At 51.3% G+C, this 14,425-nt stretch overlaps 1 protein-coding gene across 2 annotated transcripts in view, besides 4 other annotated features; it reads left to right on the top strand.

The window, feature by feature from the left end:
- Window positions 1-14,425, top strand: part of GNG7 (G protein subunit gamma 7) — a 191,476-nt gene that overhangs the window by 21,156 nt on the left and 155,895 nt on the right. The window lies entirely within an intron of this gene.
- Window positions 3,309-3,457: a silencer, noted in NCBI's record as "fragment chr19:2678080-2678228 (GRCh37/hg19 assembly coordinates)". NCBI's record gives its function as "represses an EF-1alpha promoter that drives an FKBP-Casp9 reporter gene in an ReSE screen in phorbol 12-myristate 13-acetate-treated (for megakaryocytic differentiation) K562 erythroleukemia cells {active_cell/tissue: K562(+PMA)}" and the evidence as "EXISTENCE:reporter gene assay evidence [ECO:0000049][PMID:32094911]".
- Window positions 11,017-11,217: a silencer, noted in NCBI's record as "peak3237 fragment used in MPRA reporter construct". NCBI's record gives its function as "represses an SCP1 promoter by STARR-seq MPRAs in K562 erythroleukemia cells {active_cell/tissue: K562}" and the evidence as "EXISTENCE:reporter gene assay evidence [ECO:0000049][PMID:32103011]".
- Window positions 12,457-13,725: an enhancer, noted in NCBI's record as "amplified fragment containing the chr19:2667812-2669080 (GRCh37) CAGE-defined region". NCBI's record gives its function as "transcribed enhancer in B cells {active_cell/tissue: B cell}" and the evidence as "EXISTENCE:reporter gene assay evidence [ECO:0000049][PMID:24670763]".
- Window positions 13,156-13,225: an enhancer, noted in NCBI's record as "active region_13712". NCBI's record gives its function as "activates an Ori minimal core promoter by ATAC-STARR-seq in GM12878 lymphoblastoid cells {active_cell/tissue: GM12878}" and the evidence as "EXISTENCE:reporter gene assay evidence [ECO:0000049][PMID:35858748]".

The following is a 14,425-nucleotide window of genomic DNA, read 5'->3' as shown; positions in this document are numbered from 1 at the left end:
CCAGCGCTTTGGGAGGCCGAGGTGGGAGGATCACTTGAGTCCAAGAGTTGGAGACCGGCTGGGTGAGGTTGCTCACGCCTGCAATCCCAGCACTTTGGGAGGCCGAGGCGGGCGGATCATGAGGTCAGGAGATCGAAGCCATCCTGACTAATATGGTGAAACCCCATCTCTACTAAAAGGACAAAAAATTAGCCGGGCGTGGTGGCGGGCGCCTGTAGTCCCAGCTACTCGGGAGGCTGAGGCAGGAGAATCGCTTGAACCTGGGAGGTGGAGGTTGCAGTGAGCCGAGATCGTGCCACTGCATTCCAGCCTGGGCAACAGAGCAAGACTCCGTCTCAAAAACAATAAAATAAAAAAAGTTGGTTGCTACAAAAAAAATAAAAATAAAAATTAGCCAGGCCTGCTGGGGCACACCTGTAGTCCCAGCTACTTGGGAGGGTTACACAGGAGGATCAAAGAAACAAAAACTGTCGGTTTCACTTCAAAACATGCTCCGCGTCAGTCCTCAGGGAAATGCAAATCAGAGCCATGGTGAGATACCACTTCACGCCCAGTAAGATGGCTAGAATTAAAAAACCAGAACAACAAACAATCACAAGGGCTCACGGGGAGGTAGGACATGGGGACCCTCATGCGAGCTCGGGAGACGAAGGTTGCAGTGAGCTGTGATCACACCACCGCACTCCAGCCTGAGCAACAGAGCAAGACCCTGTCTCAAAAAAGAAACGAATGAAGTCGGGAGTTCAAGACCAGCCTGACCAACATGGAGAAACCCCGCCTCTACTAAAATACAAAATTAGCCAGGCGTGGTGATGCATGCCTGTAATCCTAGCTACTTAGGAGGCTGAGGCAGGAGAATCTCTTGAACCCAGGAGGCGGAGGTTGCAGTGGGCTGAGATCTCACCATTGCATTCCAGCCTGGGCAACAAGAGGGAAACTCCATCTCAAAAAAAAAAAAAAAAAAAAATTGTAAATTTTGTGTTAAGTGTATTTTACTAAAAAACCCACTGTTAGTCTATGTGGTCACTTTTCAGAGCTTTTAATTTTTAATTTTAAAATGTTTTAATTTTTTAAAAAATAGAGACAGGTGGCTGGGCAAGGTGGCTCATGCCTGTAATCCCAGCACTTTGGGAGACCGAGGCGGGTGGATCACCTGAGGTCAGGAGTTTGAGACCAGCCTGGCCAAGATGGTGAAACCACATCTCTACTAAAAATACTAAAATTGGCCAGGCATGGTGGCGGGTGCCTGTTATCCCAGTTACTCGGGGAGGCTAAGGCAGAGAGAATCACTTGAACCTGGGAGGTGGAGGTTGTGGTGAGCCGAGATCGCACAACTGCACTCCAGCCTGGGCAACAGAGCGAGACTCTGTCTCAAAAAAAAAAAAAAAAAAAAAGAGACAAGGTCTTACTATGATGCCCAGGCTGCTCGAACTCCTGGGCTTAAGCGATCCTCCCTCCTCGGTCTCCCAAGATGCTGGGGTTACAGGCGTGAGCTGCCGTGCCTGGCTGACAGTCTTAGACTGTAAGAAGACGGTCCTGTTTTTCTCCCTGTGGGTTTCTCATCTTTCTCCACTGTGGGTCAAGCCTAATAGAGCTGTGGACACTGACTGGTTCTGTTTTAAGGGATTCTGGCATTGGATTTTGAGTTTCTTCACATCTGGGACTACTGAGCAGGTCATGTCTTTGATTTAGGTCTTGCCAAGCCCAGGTAATTTAGGAAGGTGCTACCTGGTGCCTGGAGTTAATACAATGAGTAAGGTGAAGATGCAGATGGGAATGCAAGGGGTTGAAAATTCTGTCCTGCTTTGAGGAAGTGGGACCTGGGGGAATAGGATATGTAAAAAGTGAAAGGTGGCGAATCATGGAGGGTTCTGGAATCTTCTGGAACCTTCTAGAAACTCCCAGAGCCTTCTAGAGTTTTCTGGAATGTAGGCATGGTGAGGCATTGGATTTAGAATGCCTACTTAGCCACCATGTGACTTTCTTTCTGTGTGAATTTTGAAGAAAACATGGAACCTTTCTGTTTCCTTGTGTGTCAGACAGGATAGGAATCACTCCCTAGGGTCATTGAAAAGATTGGGATGGACTACGAGGCTGTGACCTGGATGGGTGGTGGTCCTGGTTATCACTGTTATTGCTGGAATCACTGCTAATATTATTCAATATATTATGTATAAATATTAGTATTGGCTGGGTGTGGTGGCTCACACCTGTAATTCCAGCACTTTGGGAGGCTTAGGTGGGAGGATTGCTTGAGCCCTGGAGTTCGAGACCAGCCTGAGCAACATAGTGAGACTCTATCTCTACAAAATTTATTAAAAATTAGCCAGATATGGTGGTGCACACCTGTGGTCCCAGCTGCTTGGGAGGCTGAGGCAGGAGGATTGCTTGGAAGCCTAGGAAGTTGAGGCTGCAGTGAGCTATGATTGCACCACTGCATTCCAGCCTGGGCAACAGCAAGATCCCGTCTCAAAAAATTAGCATTGTACTATATGTTACTTATGTTGTTATTTTTCCTCACGGACACCATGGGCGTGGACCAAATTCAGAAAACGATGAAGTCTGTTCTTGGGGAGATGGGATAGGAGCTGTAGCTTGGCTGGGCTGGCTTAAGAATCAGGCTTGTCTGGAAATCGGAGGGACCGTCATGAGAAGCTGTTGGTTTCCGATCGTCGAAGGCTGCATGACGGAGGATGGGTTGGCTGGTGCAAAGGTCAGGGAAGGGATTCTGTTGGCATGGGGTGTAGACCTGGCGTTGAAGGCCACTCCTAGCTCTGAGAGCTGGGACCCCTTGAGAGAAGTAGTTACCAGGCTGGGGCTTGGCAGAATCAGGGTTGGAGGTGATGATCTTGGAGGCGCTGCCTGCTGCCCAGGACCCTCCGAGACTGGACACCTTATCTGATTCTTCTCCCTGTGTTGTGGATGGGGAAACTGAAACCGTATGCATTTATTACCCCATCCCAGGATTTGGTTCCTCCACCCATAATAGGTGACTGAGTTCAAAGAGCCAAGTGTGACCTGTGTACAGTGGGTGTGACCCACCTGCCCACTGTGTGGCAACCATGTCATCCCTGGAAGTTTGCATTCCGTGGCTTTTCCTCTGTTACTTTTTTGACTCCGTGCCCAAGCCCAGCAGCTTCTGAATCCAAAGCCTTGCTATGCCACAATACCTACTATATTTCAGAAAATTCTGGAAGTTTCCAGAAGCTTCTGGAAGATTCCAGAACATTCTACAAGTCACCTTTCACTTCTTGTATATCTCGCTCCCCCCAGGTTTTACTTCCTCAATGTAGCATGTGCCCTGAGATGGAAGTGACCACAGTCACACCCACTCTCTTGTTTCTTGCTGTGACAGTGTTGGCGTCGGCCACCGCCACCTCCTCTTCCACTCAGGGCCACAGTGGAAGGTCTGGATGCCTGGTGTTCTGTTTTCCTAAGGCTGCTGAACCCTAACTAACATCCACACAGAGGCCACTGGTGGTCAGCACAGGTGGCAGGGTTAGAAAGGTTGGGACTGGCTTTGTCCTTTGAGTCAGAGGGACAGTCACACTCATGTTTGTGTGACCATATGCATGTGGCTATGGTCAGTCCTATAGATTATGGCAGCGGTTATCACTCTCTGTCACTGTGGACCTTGGGGCCAGATCGTTCTCTGAGGTGGGGCCATCCTGGGCACTGTAGGGTGCTGAGCAGCGTCCCTGGCCTCCACCCACTCTATGCCAGGGACACCCCGAGTTGTGACAACCAAAGATGTCCCCAGACATTGCCCAGTGCCCCATGGGGGGCAGAATCACCCCCAGGTGAGACCCCCGGGGGTTAGGGGATTCCACAGATCCCCAAGAAACTCTGTGTCTCATGATCCTCTGTCCTCCTGAGGTTCCAGGAGGCTGCACACATTGTAATCCACACCCTGAGTGGGGAGGGAGAGAGGAGGAGAATCGCAGGAGCTGGGGCCCCCCTTGGTTTCTGCCATCCACCCCATCGGGAATTTTTTCTAGTGTCTGGTGTCAACAGGGAGCAGATACAATATTTTTCCAAATAATTAAGGCAGAGTCTCTCCCCCTTGGCATTCAGGGCTGGGTCGTTCTCTGGGGTGGGGTTGTCCTGGCCACTGCAAGGTTCTGATCAGCATCCCTGGCCTCCACCCACTCCACGCCAGGAGCATCCCTGAGTCATAACAGTCACAAATGCCCCCAGACACCACCTAGCATCCCCTGGGGACCAGAAGGACCCCTGGTTGAGAACCACGGTTGTATAGAAAGGAATTGAAGCAAAAAAAAAAAAATGGAATTCTCTGCTCCCCTGTGGCATCCTGTTGATGGATTAGATTCAGCCTCCATGCTCCAACACCGAGCTCAGCGTCTCCTGGAAGGCCCTGTCTCCAGAGGACGTTCCCAGATCCTGCTCCCTGGAAGAATTCTTGCGAGCATATATGCAAGTGTAATTAAGCGGCCGTTTTTCCTCTGTGGTGACACAGATTTGGGTCTGCAGTAAAGATATGGAGTCCCTTTAGAGCTGAGAGCCGGATCACGGCCAGGAGAATGCCTTGCTTTGAGATTCTCTGGGAATCGGGAGTCCTGCCTGGGTGGAAATCAGCCCTGGACAGGGAGGGAATGTGCAGATCGGAGCAAGTGGCTTGTTTCTTCCTGGCAACCCCAGAAGCTGTCTGAACAGCTTCTCTCTGCCACACATCTCTTTGAGTCTTGCACCCGCCCGGCTGAAAATTACACCCAACTCCTCCAGCCGGGTCTAGGAAGTGGTGCAAGCTCCTGAACCTCCATCTGCAGAATAACTAACTAGCTGTTCCTGAAAACCACCAAAGAGGCTGGGCGCGATGCCTCACACCTGTAATCCCAGGACTATGGGAGGCCGAGGCGGGAGGATCACTTGAATCTGGGAGTTTGACACCAGCTTGGGCAACATGGTGAAACCCCATCTCTACAGAAAGCGAAAACAAAAATTAGGCAAGCATGATGGTGCGCGCCTGTGGTCCCAGTTCCTTGGGAGGCTGAGGTGGGAGGATCGCTTGAGCCAGGCGGTGGAGGTTGCAGTGAGCTGAGACTGTGCCACTGCACTCTAGCCTGGGCGGCAGAGATATATCGCTGAGGGTTTGACGGACACTTCTAGATGGAAATCAATGTCTATCTGGTGCCTTGGGGGCTGTGCATGTTCACGAGGAGGGTGTCTGAACATGCCAGGATGTGGGTGCCTAGGGGAGGGTCTCTGTGGGGTGAAGTTTGGATATTTGAGGGCGCCCATGGAAAATGACTTCAACCTGCATGGCTCAAAACCACAGAAATGGATTTTCTGGCAGTTCTAGAAGCCAGAAGTCTGAGACGAAGGTGTGGGCAGGGCCGTTCCCGGCCCAGAAGCTCCCGGGGAGGATCCTTCCTGCCTCTTCCAGCATCTGGCAAGTGGCCGGCGGTTCTTGGCGCCCCTGGGCTGGTGACATCGCTCCAGTCTCTGCCTCCATCCTCACACGGCCCCCTTCCCTGTGTGGGTCTGTGTCCAAATTTCCCTCGTCTTATAAGGACATCAGTTATTGGATTTAGGGCTCATCTTAATCCAGCACAACCACATCTTAATAATAAGTCCATCTGCAGAAACCCTGTTTCCAAATAAGGTCCCATTCTGAGGCATCTGGCTCAACAATATTTTCTTCCAAATAATTAACTTTGAGTCTCTTCCCCCTGGTGCTGTGGACATTGGGGCTGGATCATTCTCTGGGGAGGGGCCATCCTGGGCACTGCAGGGTGCTGAGCAGTGTCCCTGGCCTCCACCCACTCCATACCAGGAGCTCCCCCCAATCGTGAAAACCACAGATGTCCTCAGACCTCCCCCGCCCCATTGAGACCCCCAAGTGTCGGGAATATCTTTTCTGTTTTCATATGTTTTTCTTTGTATCTTATAGGATCCTGGGGAAATATTTCCCCCAGCAGTCCCTCATAGGAGCCAATTTAGGTCATCGCTGTCCTTCAGAACTGTCCTCTGCAGAGGGGCCGCGACATCTGATATTCTCTACTCTTTAACCAGCCTGGTTTGCTAAATAACGCTCCCTGCTTCTTTACCGTCAAGCGACCTCTCCTGCTCGGCACTGCTGGCATTTCCTGGTCTTCGTGGTTGCAGATTTTTGGTGGGTCACACCGGGCTTGGTCACGAAGCTGTCCCTTCCTGGTGTCCCCTTGAGCCTGGAGGTTCCATAAAGCCAGATTCCCATTCCCGAGCCCGTGCACTTGCTGCTGTTCCTGGCTGGTTCCAGGGTTTGACCAGTCGTCCACCGTTGCAGAGAGAGACCTGTTAGTTCTTCAGGGGCACGACAGGAATTTCTGGCGTGCATCCGTCTCCGAGAACGTGATCTGTTTGGGTTCATTTATGAACACGTCCAACTGTTAGGAGTGCTTGGCGCCGTTGCGGATTTGTTTGGAGAAGCTAAAGCAGTCTGTAACCCTGTCGCGTTTTCCATGTGTTAAAACATTACCAGTCCCGAGTGTGTGAAAATCTGGATTTTTATCTATTCTAGTCTCAGCCAGAGGGGGAGGCGTTATGACAGTTCCGTTTTAGGAAAAGTAGTACGGTATACATTACGAAAGAGCATTGTTTTCTAACCGAGTCCGTTTCTGGTGACGTACAATGGCACAGTTTTCAAACTTGACTATGTAGAAAAGCTGCCCGATGGAGTCGGCGCTGTCGAGGGTGGAAATGCGAGTTACGACCATCACATAAGGAGATCTCTGTTTTCTTCAACACTCCCTGACTTTGCATCTCAGCAGGTGTCCTCTGTGTTTTAAAACAGTCACCTTGCAGGCCAGACGCAGTAGCTCACGCCTGTAATCCCAGCACTGTGGGAGGCCAAGGCGGGTGGATCACCTGAGGTCAGGAGTTCGAGACCAGCCTGGCCAACATGGTAAAAACTCGTCTCTACTAAAAATGCAAAAATTAGCCGGGCATGGTTGTGGGCGCCTGTAATCCCAGCTACTTGGGAGGTTGAGGCAGGAGGATCGCTTGAGCCCAGGAGGTGGAGGTTGCAGCGAGCTGAGATTGCACCACTGCACTCCAGCCTAGGCAACGGAACAAGACTCTGTCTCAAAAAAAAACAAAACAAAAACAAAAAACAAAAACACCAGTCACCTTTGGAGACCTTGCCCTTTTCCCAGCAGTGTGACGATTCTGATTCCCTTCAAGAGTGGATTGTACTGCTTTTGTATATTTCAAACATACAATTGTGTGTATTTCCATTATATTTCAGATTCTTTTTTCTTGTTTGTTTTGTTTTTGAGATGGAGTCTCACTCTGTTGCTCAGGCTAGAGTGCAGTGGGGTGATCTCGGCTCACCGCAACCTCTGGCTCCCAGGTTCAGGCAATTCTTTTGCCTCAGCCTCTGGAGTAGCTGGGATTATAGGCAAGGTGCCACTACACCTGGCTAGTTTTTATATTTTTAGTGGAGATGGGGTTTCACCACGTTGGCCAGGCTGGTCTCAAACTCCTGACCTTGGGTGATCCGCCCACCTTGGCCTCCCAAAGTGCTGGGATTACAGGCGTGAGCCACGGTCCCTGGCCTCAGATTTCTTTTAGGGTAGTTTTGAATTTTGGAAACAGCCTATATTAGTTAGCTAATTCTGTGTAACAAATTATCACAAATGTATCCTAAGAAAACTCTGAAATATATTGGAAATATACACAATTGTATGTTTAAAATATACAAAAGCAGTACAAGGCCCTCTCTCTAAAAAAAGAAAGAAAGAAATTTTCTAAAAAGACCAGTATCCATACATTATCACGAACTCAACTCCACACTTTATTTACATTTTATTTTTCTTTCTTTCTTTCTTTCTTTTTTTTTTTTTTTAGATGGAGTCTCGCTCTTTCACCCAGGCTGGAGTGCCAGTGGTGTGATCTTGGCTCACTGCAACCTCCACCTCCTGGGTTCAAATGATCCTCCTGCCTCAGCCTCCCAAGTAGCTGGGATTTCAGGTGCCTGCCACCCTGCACGGCTAATTTTTGTATTTTTAATAGAGGCAGGGGTTCACCATGTTGGCCAGGCTGGTCTCGAATTCCTGACCTCAGGTGAGCCGCCCGCCTCGGCCTCCCAAAGTGCTGGGATTACAGGCGTGAGCCACGGCGCCCGGTCTTTATTTCCATTTTCTTGTTTTTTCCAGGAACCCACATGCCATTGACTCCCGACATCTCCTTACACTCTGCTGGGACACTTCTCAGACTCATTGGTTTTGATGACCTGCTGGGTTTTTTTTTGTTTTGTTTTGTTTTGTTTTGTTTTTTTTTTGAGATGGAATCTCGCTCTGTCACCCAGGCTGGAGTGCAGTGGTGCTATCTCAGCTCGCTGCAAGCTCCGCCTCCCGGGTTCACGGCCATTCTCCTGGCTCACCCTCCTGAGTAGCTGGGACTACAGGCGCCCGCTGCCACGCCCAGCTAATTTTTTGTATTGTTTAGTAGAGACGGGGTTTCACCGTGTTAGCCAGGATGGTCTCGATCTCCTGACCTTGTGATCTGCCCGCCTCGGCCTCCCAAAGTGCTGGGATTACAGGCATGAACCACCGCACCCGGCCAACCTAGTGGTTTTGAGGAGGACTCGTCAGGAGTTTTGTAAAATGTCCCCCAACGTGAGTTTCCATGATGTTTGCTCTTGAATAGTCTGGGGTTCAGGGCTCTGGGGAGAACACATCAGGGGCACGTGACGTCCACACTGGTGGTGTTGACATTGGTCACCTGGCCAAGGTAGAACCCAGTGGCTTTAAACTTTGAATTATTGCCAGCATTTAAAAATCAGGGGTCACAGACCAGGCGCGGTGGCTCACACCTGTAATCCCAGCACTTTGGGAGGTCGAGGCGGGCAAATCACTTGAGGCCAGGAGTTTGAGACCAAGCTGGCCAACATGGTGAAACCCTATCTCTACTAAAAATACAAAAATTAGCCGGTGTGGTGACACACACTTGTAATCCCAGCTACTCAGGAGGCTGAGGCAGGAGAATTGCTTCAACATGGGAGGCAGGGTTTGCAGCGAGCTGAGATCGCACCACTGCACTCCAGCCTGGATGACAGAGTGAGACTCTGTCTCAAAAGAAAAAAAAAAAAATCGGGCGTCACACCTGTAATTCCAACACTTTGGGAGGCTGAAGCAGGAGGATTGCTTGAGGCTGGGAGTTCTAGACCACCCTGGGCAACACAGTGAGACCCCATCTCTACAAAATATTTAAAAATAGGCCAGGTGCAGTGGCTCACGCCTGCAATCCCAGTGCTTTGGGAGGCTGAGGCAGGAGGATGACTTGAGGTTAGCCTGGCCCACATGGCAAAACCCTGTCTCTACTGAAAATACAATTAGCTGGGTATGGTGGCAGGTGCCTGTGGTCCCAGCTACTCGGGAGGCTGAGGCAGGAGAATTGCTTGAACCTGGCAGGCAGCAGTTGCAGTGAGCTGAGACTGCGCCACTGGGTGAGAGAGCGAGACTCCATCTTTTTTTTTTTTTTTTTTTGAGACGGAGTCTCACTCTGTCACCCAGGCTGGAGGGCAGTGACGCAATCTCGGCTCACTGCAAGCTCCACCTCCCGGGTTCATGCCATTCTCCTGCCTCAGCCTCCCGAGTAGCTGGGACTACAGGTGCCCACTGCCACGCCCGGCTAATTTTTTGTATTTTTAGTAGAGACGAGGTTTCACTGTGTTAGCCAGGATGGTCTCGATCTGCTGACCTCGTGATCCACCCGCCTCGGCCTCCCAGAGACTCCATCTTAAAAAAAAATAAAATAAAATAAAATGAAACTAAAAATCAGGAGATTTTACAATAGAACATCTCCCAGCTTCTCAGAGTAGTTGGAGGAGCTGATGACATTGGGCTTCACACCCACTGGGGCAGGAGCGGTGCCTGATGCCCTTTGAATGGGCCAGGTGTTGTCTCTCTGGGGCTCCGCATGCTACCCGTCACCTTCCCGCCTCAGGGCTGACCTCAAATTCATGACCCCTGGACATGGCCTCGGAGCTCAGCCAGGACGAACGTTCCCCTGCCTGGCTCCTCCCCAGCTCTCGGGTCTCGGGGAGGCGGCTGAAGCTGGGGGAAGCGTGTGAGGCAGAAGGCAGGCCGGACAACGTCACCTTGAGCCTCATTCACCTCGTTCGTCAGCACTTGGAGGGTTGGTCCTTTTGGCTGGTGCTGGCCAGGTCGAGGCTCAGAGCCACCGGTGTCCAGGGGGATCCGGGGTGGTCCTCGGCCTTCCTGCAACTGCCAGGGTGGTCATCAGAAAGGCTCCTGAGCTGCTGGGAGTTGGTGGAAGGTGGGTTGTCTGAGATCAGCTGGAGAGTTTTAAACATAGTTGGGTACTGATTTGTGGTCGTCACAGTTAAGAGAGGGGCAGCTCCTGGCATGGACTGGGTGGAGGCCAAGGATGCTGCTCAGCACCCTGCCGTGCCCAGGGTGACCACAGAGAACGATCCATCCTTGAATTCCAAGGGGGAGAGACCCTGCTTTAATTATTTGGAAAAATATCGAGTCTGCTCCCTGCTCACACCAGACACCAGAATAAACTCCCAAAATCAGGGGGACCCCCAGCTCCTGGGATTCACCCCCTCTCTCCCTCCCCACTCAGGGTGGGGATATCAATATGTGCAGCCTCCTGGGACCTCAGCAGGGCAGAGGATCATGGGACGCCGTCTCTTTGTGGGAGGGGTGGTCCTTGGAATCTGTAACCCAGGGGGTGTCAATGGTGGATGATTCTGTCCCCCAGGGGACACCTGGTAAAGTCTGGGACATTGTGGTTGTCACAACTTGTGGGGGGCGGGGCGAGGGCTCCTGGCATGGAGTGGGTGCAGGCCAGGGATGCTGCTCAGTACCCTGCAGTGCCCAGCACAGCCCCGCCCGAGAGAACACTCCAGCCCCAGTGCCTCAGCAGTGCCTAGGGGAGGAGACCCTGGACCAAAGTGACCCTCAGAGAATAGGGTGCTCTGTGAATCTCCACACCCGTCACACAGCCATGCCCGAGGCAGCTCAGGGTCTGGGAAAACAAGCCACATGGGACGCAGTGGCCGTCCTAGCTCAGCAAGTCTGACCGTCTGGAGGCTGCAGGGCTGACTTTGTGGAGTCAGGGTGACCTGTGTGCCTGCAGACACCGGCGCTGGGAGCGCAGGCCTCAGCTCTGTCCCCCGTGACAGCGGGGTCGAGGTGACAGCACGGCTCCCGCGGGGGCCTCAGAGGCAGGCCTGCTGCCAGTCTCTGCTCCCCCGACAGTGGGGTGGGTCTATCCCCACTGGTGCTCCTTCCTCTGGAGCCAGGCTGAGGGGAGGGTGGGTCTCCGTGGCCAGAACCAGGCTGCACCAGACAGAGCTTATTTCACCCCCTGAGGAGGCTGACCCTGCTGTTTTTGTTCCTCCAACAAAATATTAACGGAGCACTCAGAGAGAGAGAGAGACAGAGAGTTTCAAAAGAAAACAGTCAGAGGCCTTGAAGTAATGATGTAGGGCTCTGGGGCTCTGTCTTGTGAGGTGTCCACACACCTTTTCTTTTTCTTTCTTTTTTTTTTTTTTTTGAGACAGAGTCTCGCTCTGTCACCCAGTCTGGAGTGCATTGGCGCGATCTCAGCTCACTGCAACCTCTACCTCCCGAGTTCAAGTGATTCTCATGCCTCAGCCTCCCGAGTAGCTGGGATTATAGGTACCCGCCACCACGCCTGGCTAATTTTTGTATTTTTAGTAGAGACGGGGTTTCACCGTGTTGGCCAGGCTGGTCTTAAACTCCTGGCCTCAAGTGATCCTCCCGCCTCAGCCTCCCAAAGTGCTGGGATAACAGGCATGAGCCGCTGCACCCAGCCATCAACAGACCTCTTCTGTAAAGAGCCAGAGAGTAAATATTTTCGACGCTCTGAGCCAGGCGCTCTCCGTTGCAGGCACTCAACTCTGCTGTTGATGTTGGAAAGTGCCCTAGATAGTACATAAACGGGCATGGCTGTATTTCAACAAAACTTATTGACGAAAGCAAGTGGTGGGCTGGATTTGACCCACAGTGGTAGTTTTTTTGTTTGTTTGTGTTTGTTTTTGTTTGTTTGTTTTGAGACAGAGTCTCACTCTATCACCTAGGCTGGAGTGCAGTGGCACGATCCCGGCTCACTGCAACCTCTGCCTCCTGGGTTCAAGCGATTCTCTTGCCTCAGTCTCCCAAGTAGCTGGGATTACAGGCATGCACCACCACGCCCAGCTAATTTTTGTATTTTTAGTAGAGATGGGGTTTCACCATGTTGGTCAGGCTGGTCTCGAACTCCCGACCTCGTGATCTGCCCGCCTTAGCCTCCCAAAGTGCTGGGATGGCAGGTGTGAGCCACCGCGCCCAACCCACAGCGGTAGTTTTCTGATTCTTGCCATGTTAGACCAGCATTGCCCAGCATAGGGGTCTCTGTTACTAAAGTGGCAGTCAACACACACGACCACCCCCTTCTTTGAGACTTACTCCTAGGGTGGTGACCTTGAGCTGACTTTACCTCGTTTCAGTGTGTTTCCCCATCTGTGGAAGGAGGATTATATGTATCCCTTATGGGGTTGTCAGGTGGATTAAGCTGGATATTGTGGGACCGTGGTTTCTCAGCAGGAATGATCCTACTTCCCAGGGGACATTTGGCAATGTCTGGGGACATTTGCGGTTGAGGGGTGTTCCCAGCATAGAGAGGATGGAGGCCAGGGATGCTCCTCAGCACCCTGCGGTACTCAGCACAGCCCCCTACCACAGCCATTGGCCCCAAATGTCAGCACCAGGTGTGGGTGACAATATCTAACCCGCTGTGCAAAGATCAGGATGTCACGGCATATTATCAGTTGTCTTGCTTCTTCCTTCAGACCACAGCATCACCCTTATTTTCTAGAACTTTCCATCCATAAAACTGCAGCCCTCCTCCAGCCCAGGAGCGGCTGCACCCTTAGCAGGCATTCATTGAGCGCTGCCTGGATGCCGACAGCCTTGGTAGGGAATACACCATGCTGCCGAAATTGGCCTCGGGTGTTCCGGGGGCTCCCTCCAGCAGCCCCTCCATCTCCCTGGGGTTGGGGTCCTTGGTGGCCGTCACCGAGCCAGGGAAACAGGAGACAAGACCAACCGCCCAGCCACTGGTTCCCCCACCCCTCCCATTCTTTTCATAAGCGCAAATTTCCCCTGCCAATTTGCATATCCCGTTTTTAGCGTCTTTCTTTTCTAGGTTTTACATAATCATCTCATTATTAGATGCTGGCACATGAACTTAATGTTCCCTCAATCACATTTTACAGCATTTTCTAGCGTAAGTAGCTAATTGCCTGTCGTCCTTCTCTTCTCTCTGTCTCTTTTTTTTTTTTGATAAACTTTTCATTTTAGAATAGTTTCAGATTTACAGAAAAACTGGGAATGCAGTGCAGACAGTTTCATCTCCTCACCACCCAATTTTCCTTAGTATTCACATCCAATGGCATGGTGCGTTTGTCACAGCGAATAAACCAGTATTGATACATCTTCATTAACCCAAGTCTGCACTCTGTTCAGATTTCCTCAGTTTCCTCTAATGTCCTCTCCTGCCCCAGGGCCCCATCCAGGATCCCATCTCTGGCCTGTGACAGTTTTTCAGATTTTCTTTTTTGTTGTTGTTGTTTGCTTTTTCTTTTTTTGGGAGACAGAGTTGCTCTGTCTCCCAGGCTGGAGTACAGTGGTGCAATCTCGGCTCACTGTAATCTCTGCCTCCTGGATTCATATCATTCTCTTGCCTCAGCCTCCCCAGTAGCTGGGACTACAGGCACCCACCACCATGCCCGGCCTATTTTTGTATTTTTAGTAGAGACGGGGTTTCACCATGTTGGCCAGGCTGGTCTTGAACTCCTGACCTCAGCTGATCTGCCTGCCTCCGCCTCCCAAAGTGCTGGGATTACAGGCATGAGCCATTGCGCTCGGCCTACTTTTAAATTATTTTTGTAGAGATGGGGTCTCACTGTGTTGTCCAGCTGGTCTTGAACTCCTGGCCTGAAGTGATCCTCCTGCCTCGGCCTCCCAAAGTGCTGGGATGACAGGTGTCAGTCACTGCACCTGGCCCCAAATGAGATATTCCGAATGCCCTTTGCAGCCGAGGTTTTCTGGCGAGCACATAGAGGTGAGGTATTCACGCACAGAAGATAGATGGTAAGAAAAGAAACAGCCGTTTTCTGCATTTCAAAGAAACAAAACCTTGGGGCTGTGAAAATTTTTGTTGTTTGTTTGTTTGTTTTTTGAGAGGGAGTCTCACTCTGTGGCCCAGGCTGGGTTGCAGTGGCGTGATCTCTGCTCACTGCAACCTCCGCCTCCCGGGTTCAAGCGATTCTGCCGCCTCAGCCTCCCAAGTATCCGGGATTACAGGCGCAGCACCTTGCCCGGCTGATTTTTGTATTTTTAATAGAGACGGGTTGGGTTTCACCATGTTAGCCAGGCTGGTCTCGAAC

Source organism: Homo sapiens, chromosome 19 (genome assembly GCF_000001405.40).
Source record: "Homo sapiens chromosome 19, GRCh38.p14 Primary Assembly".
Taxonomy (NCBI): Eukaryota; Metazoa; Chordata; class Mammalia; order Primates; family Hominidae; genus Homo; species Homo sapiens.
The sequence above is the reverse complement of the archived record's forward strand: the minus strand, read 5'-3'. Positions and strand labels throughout refer to the sequence as shown.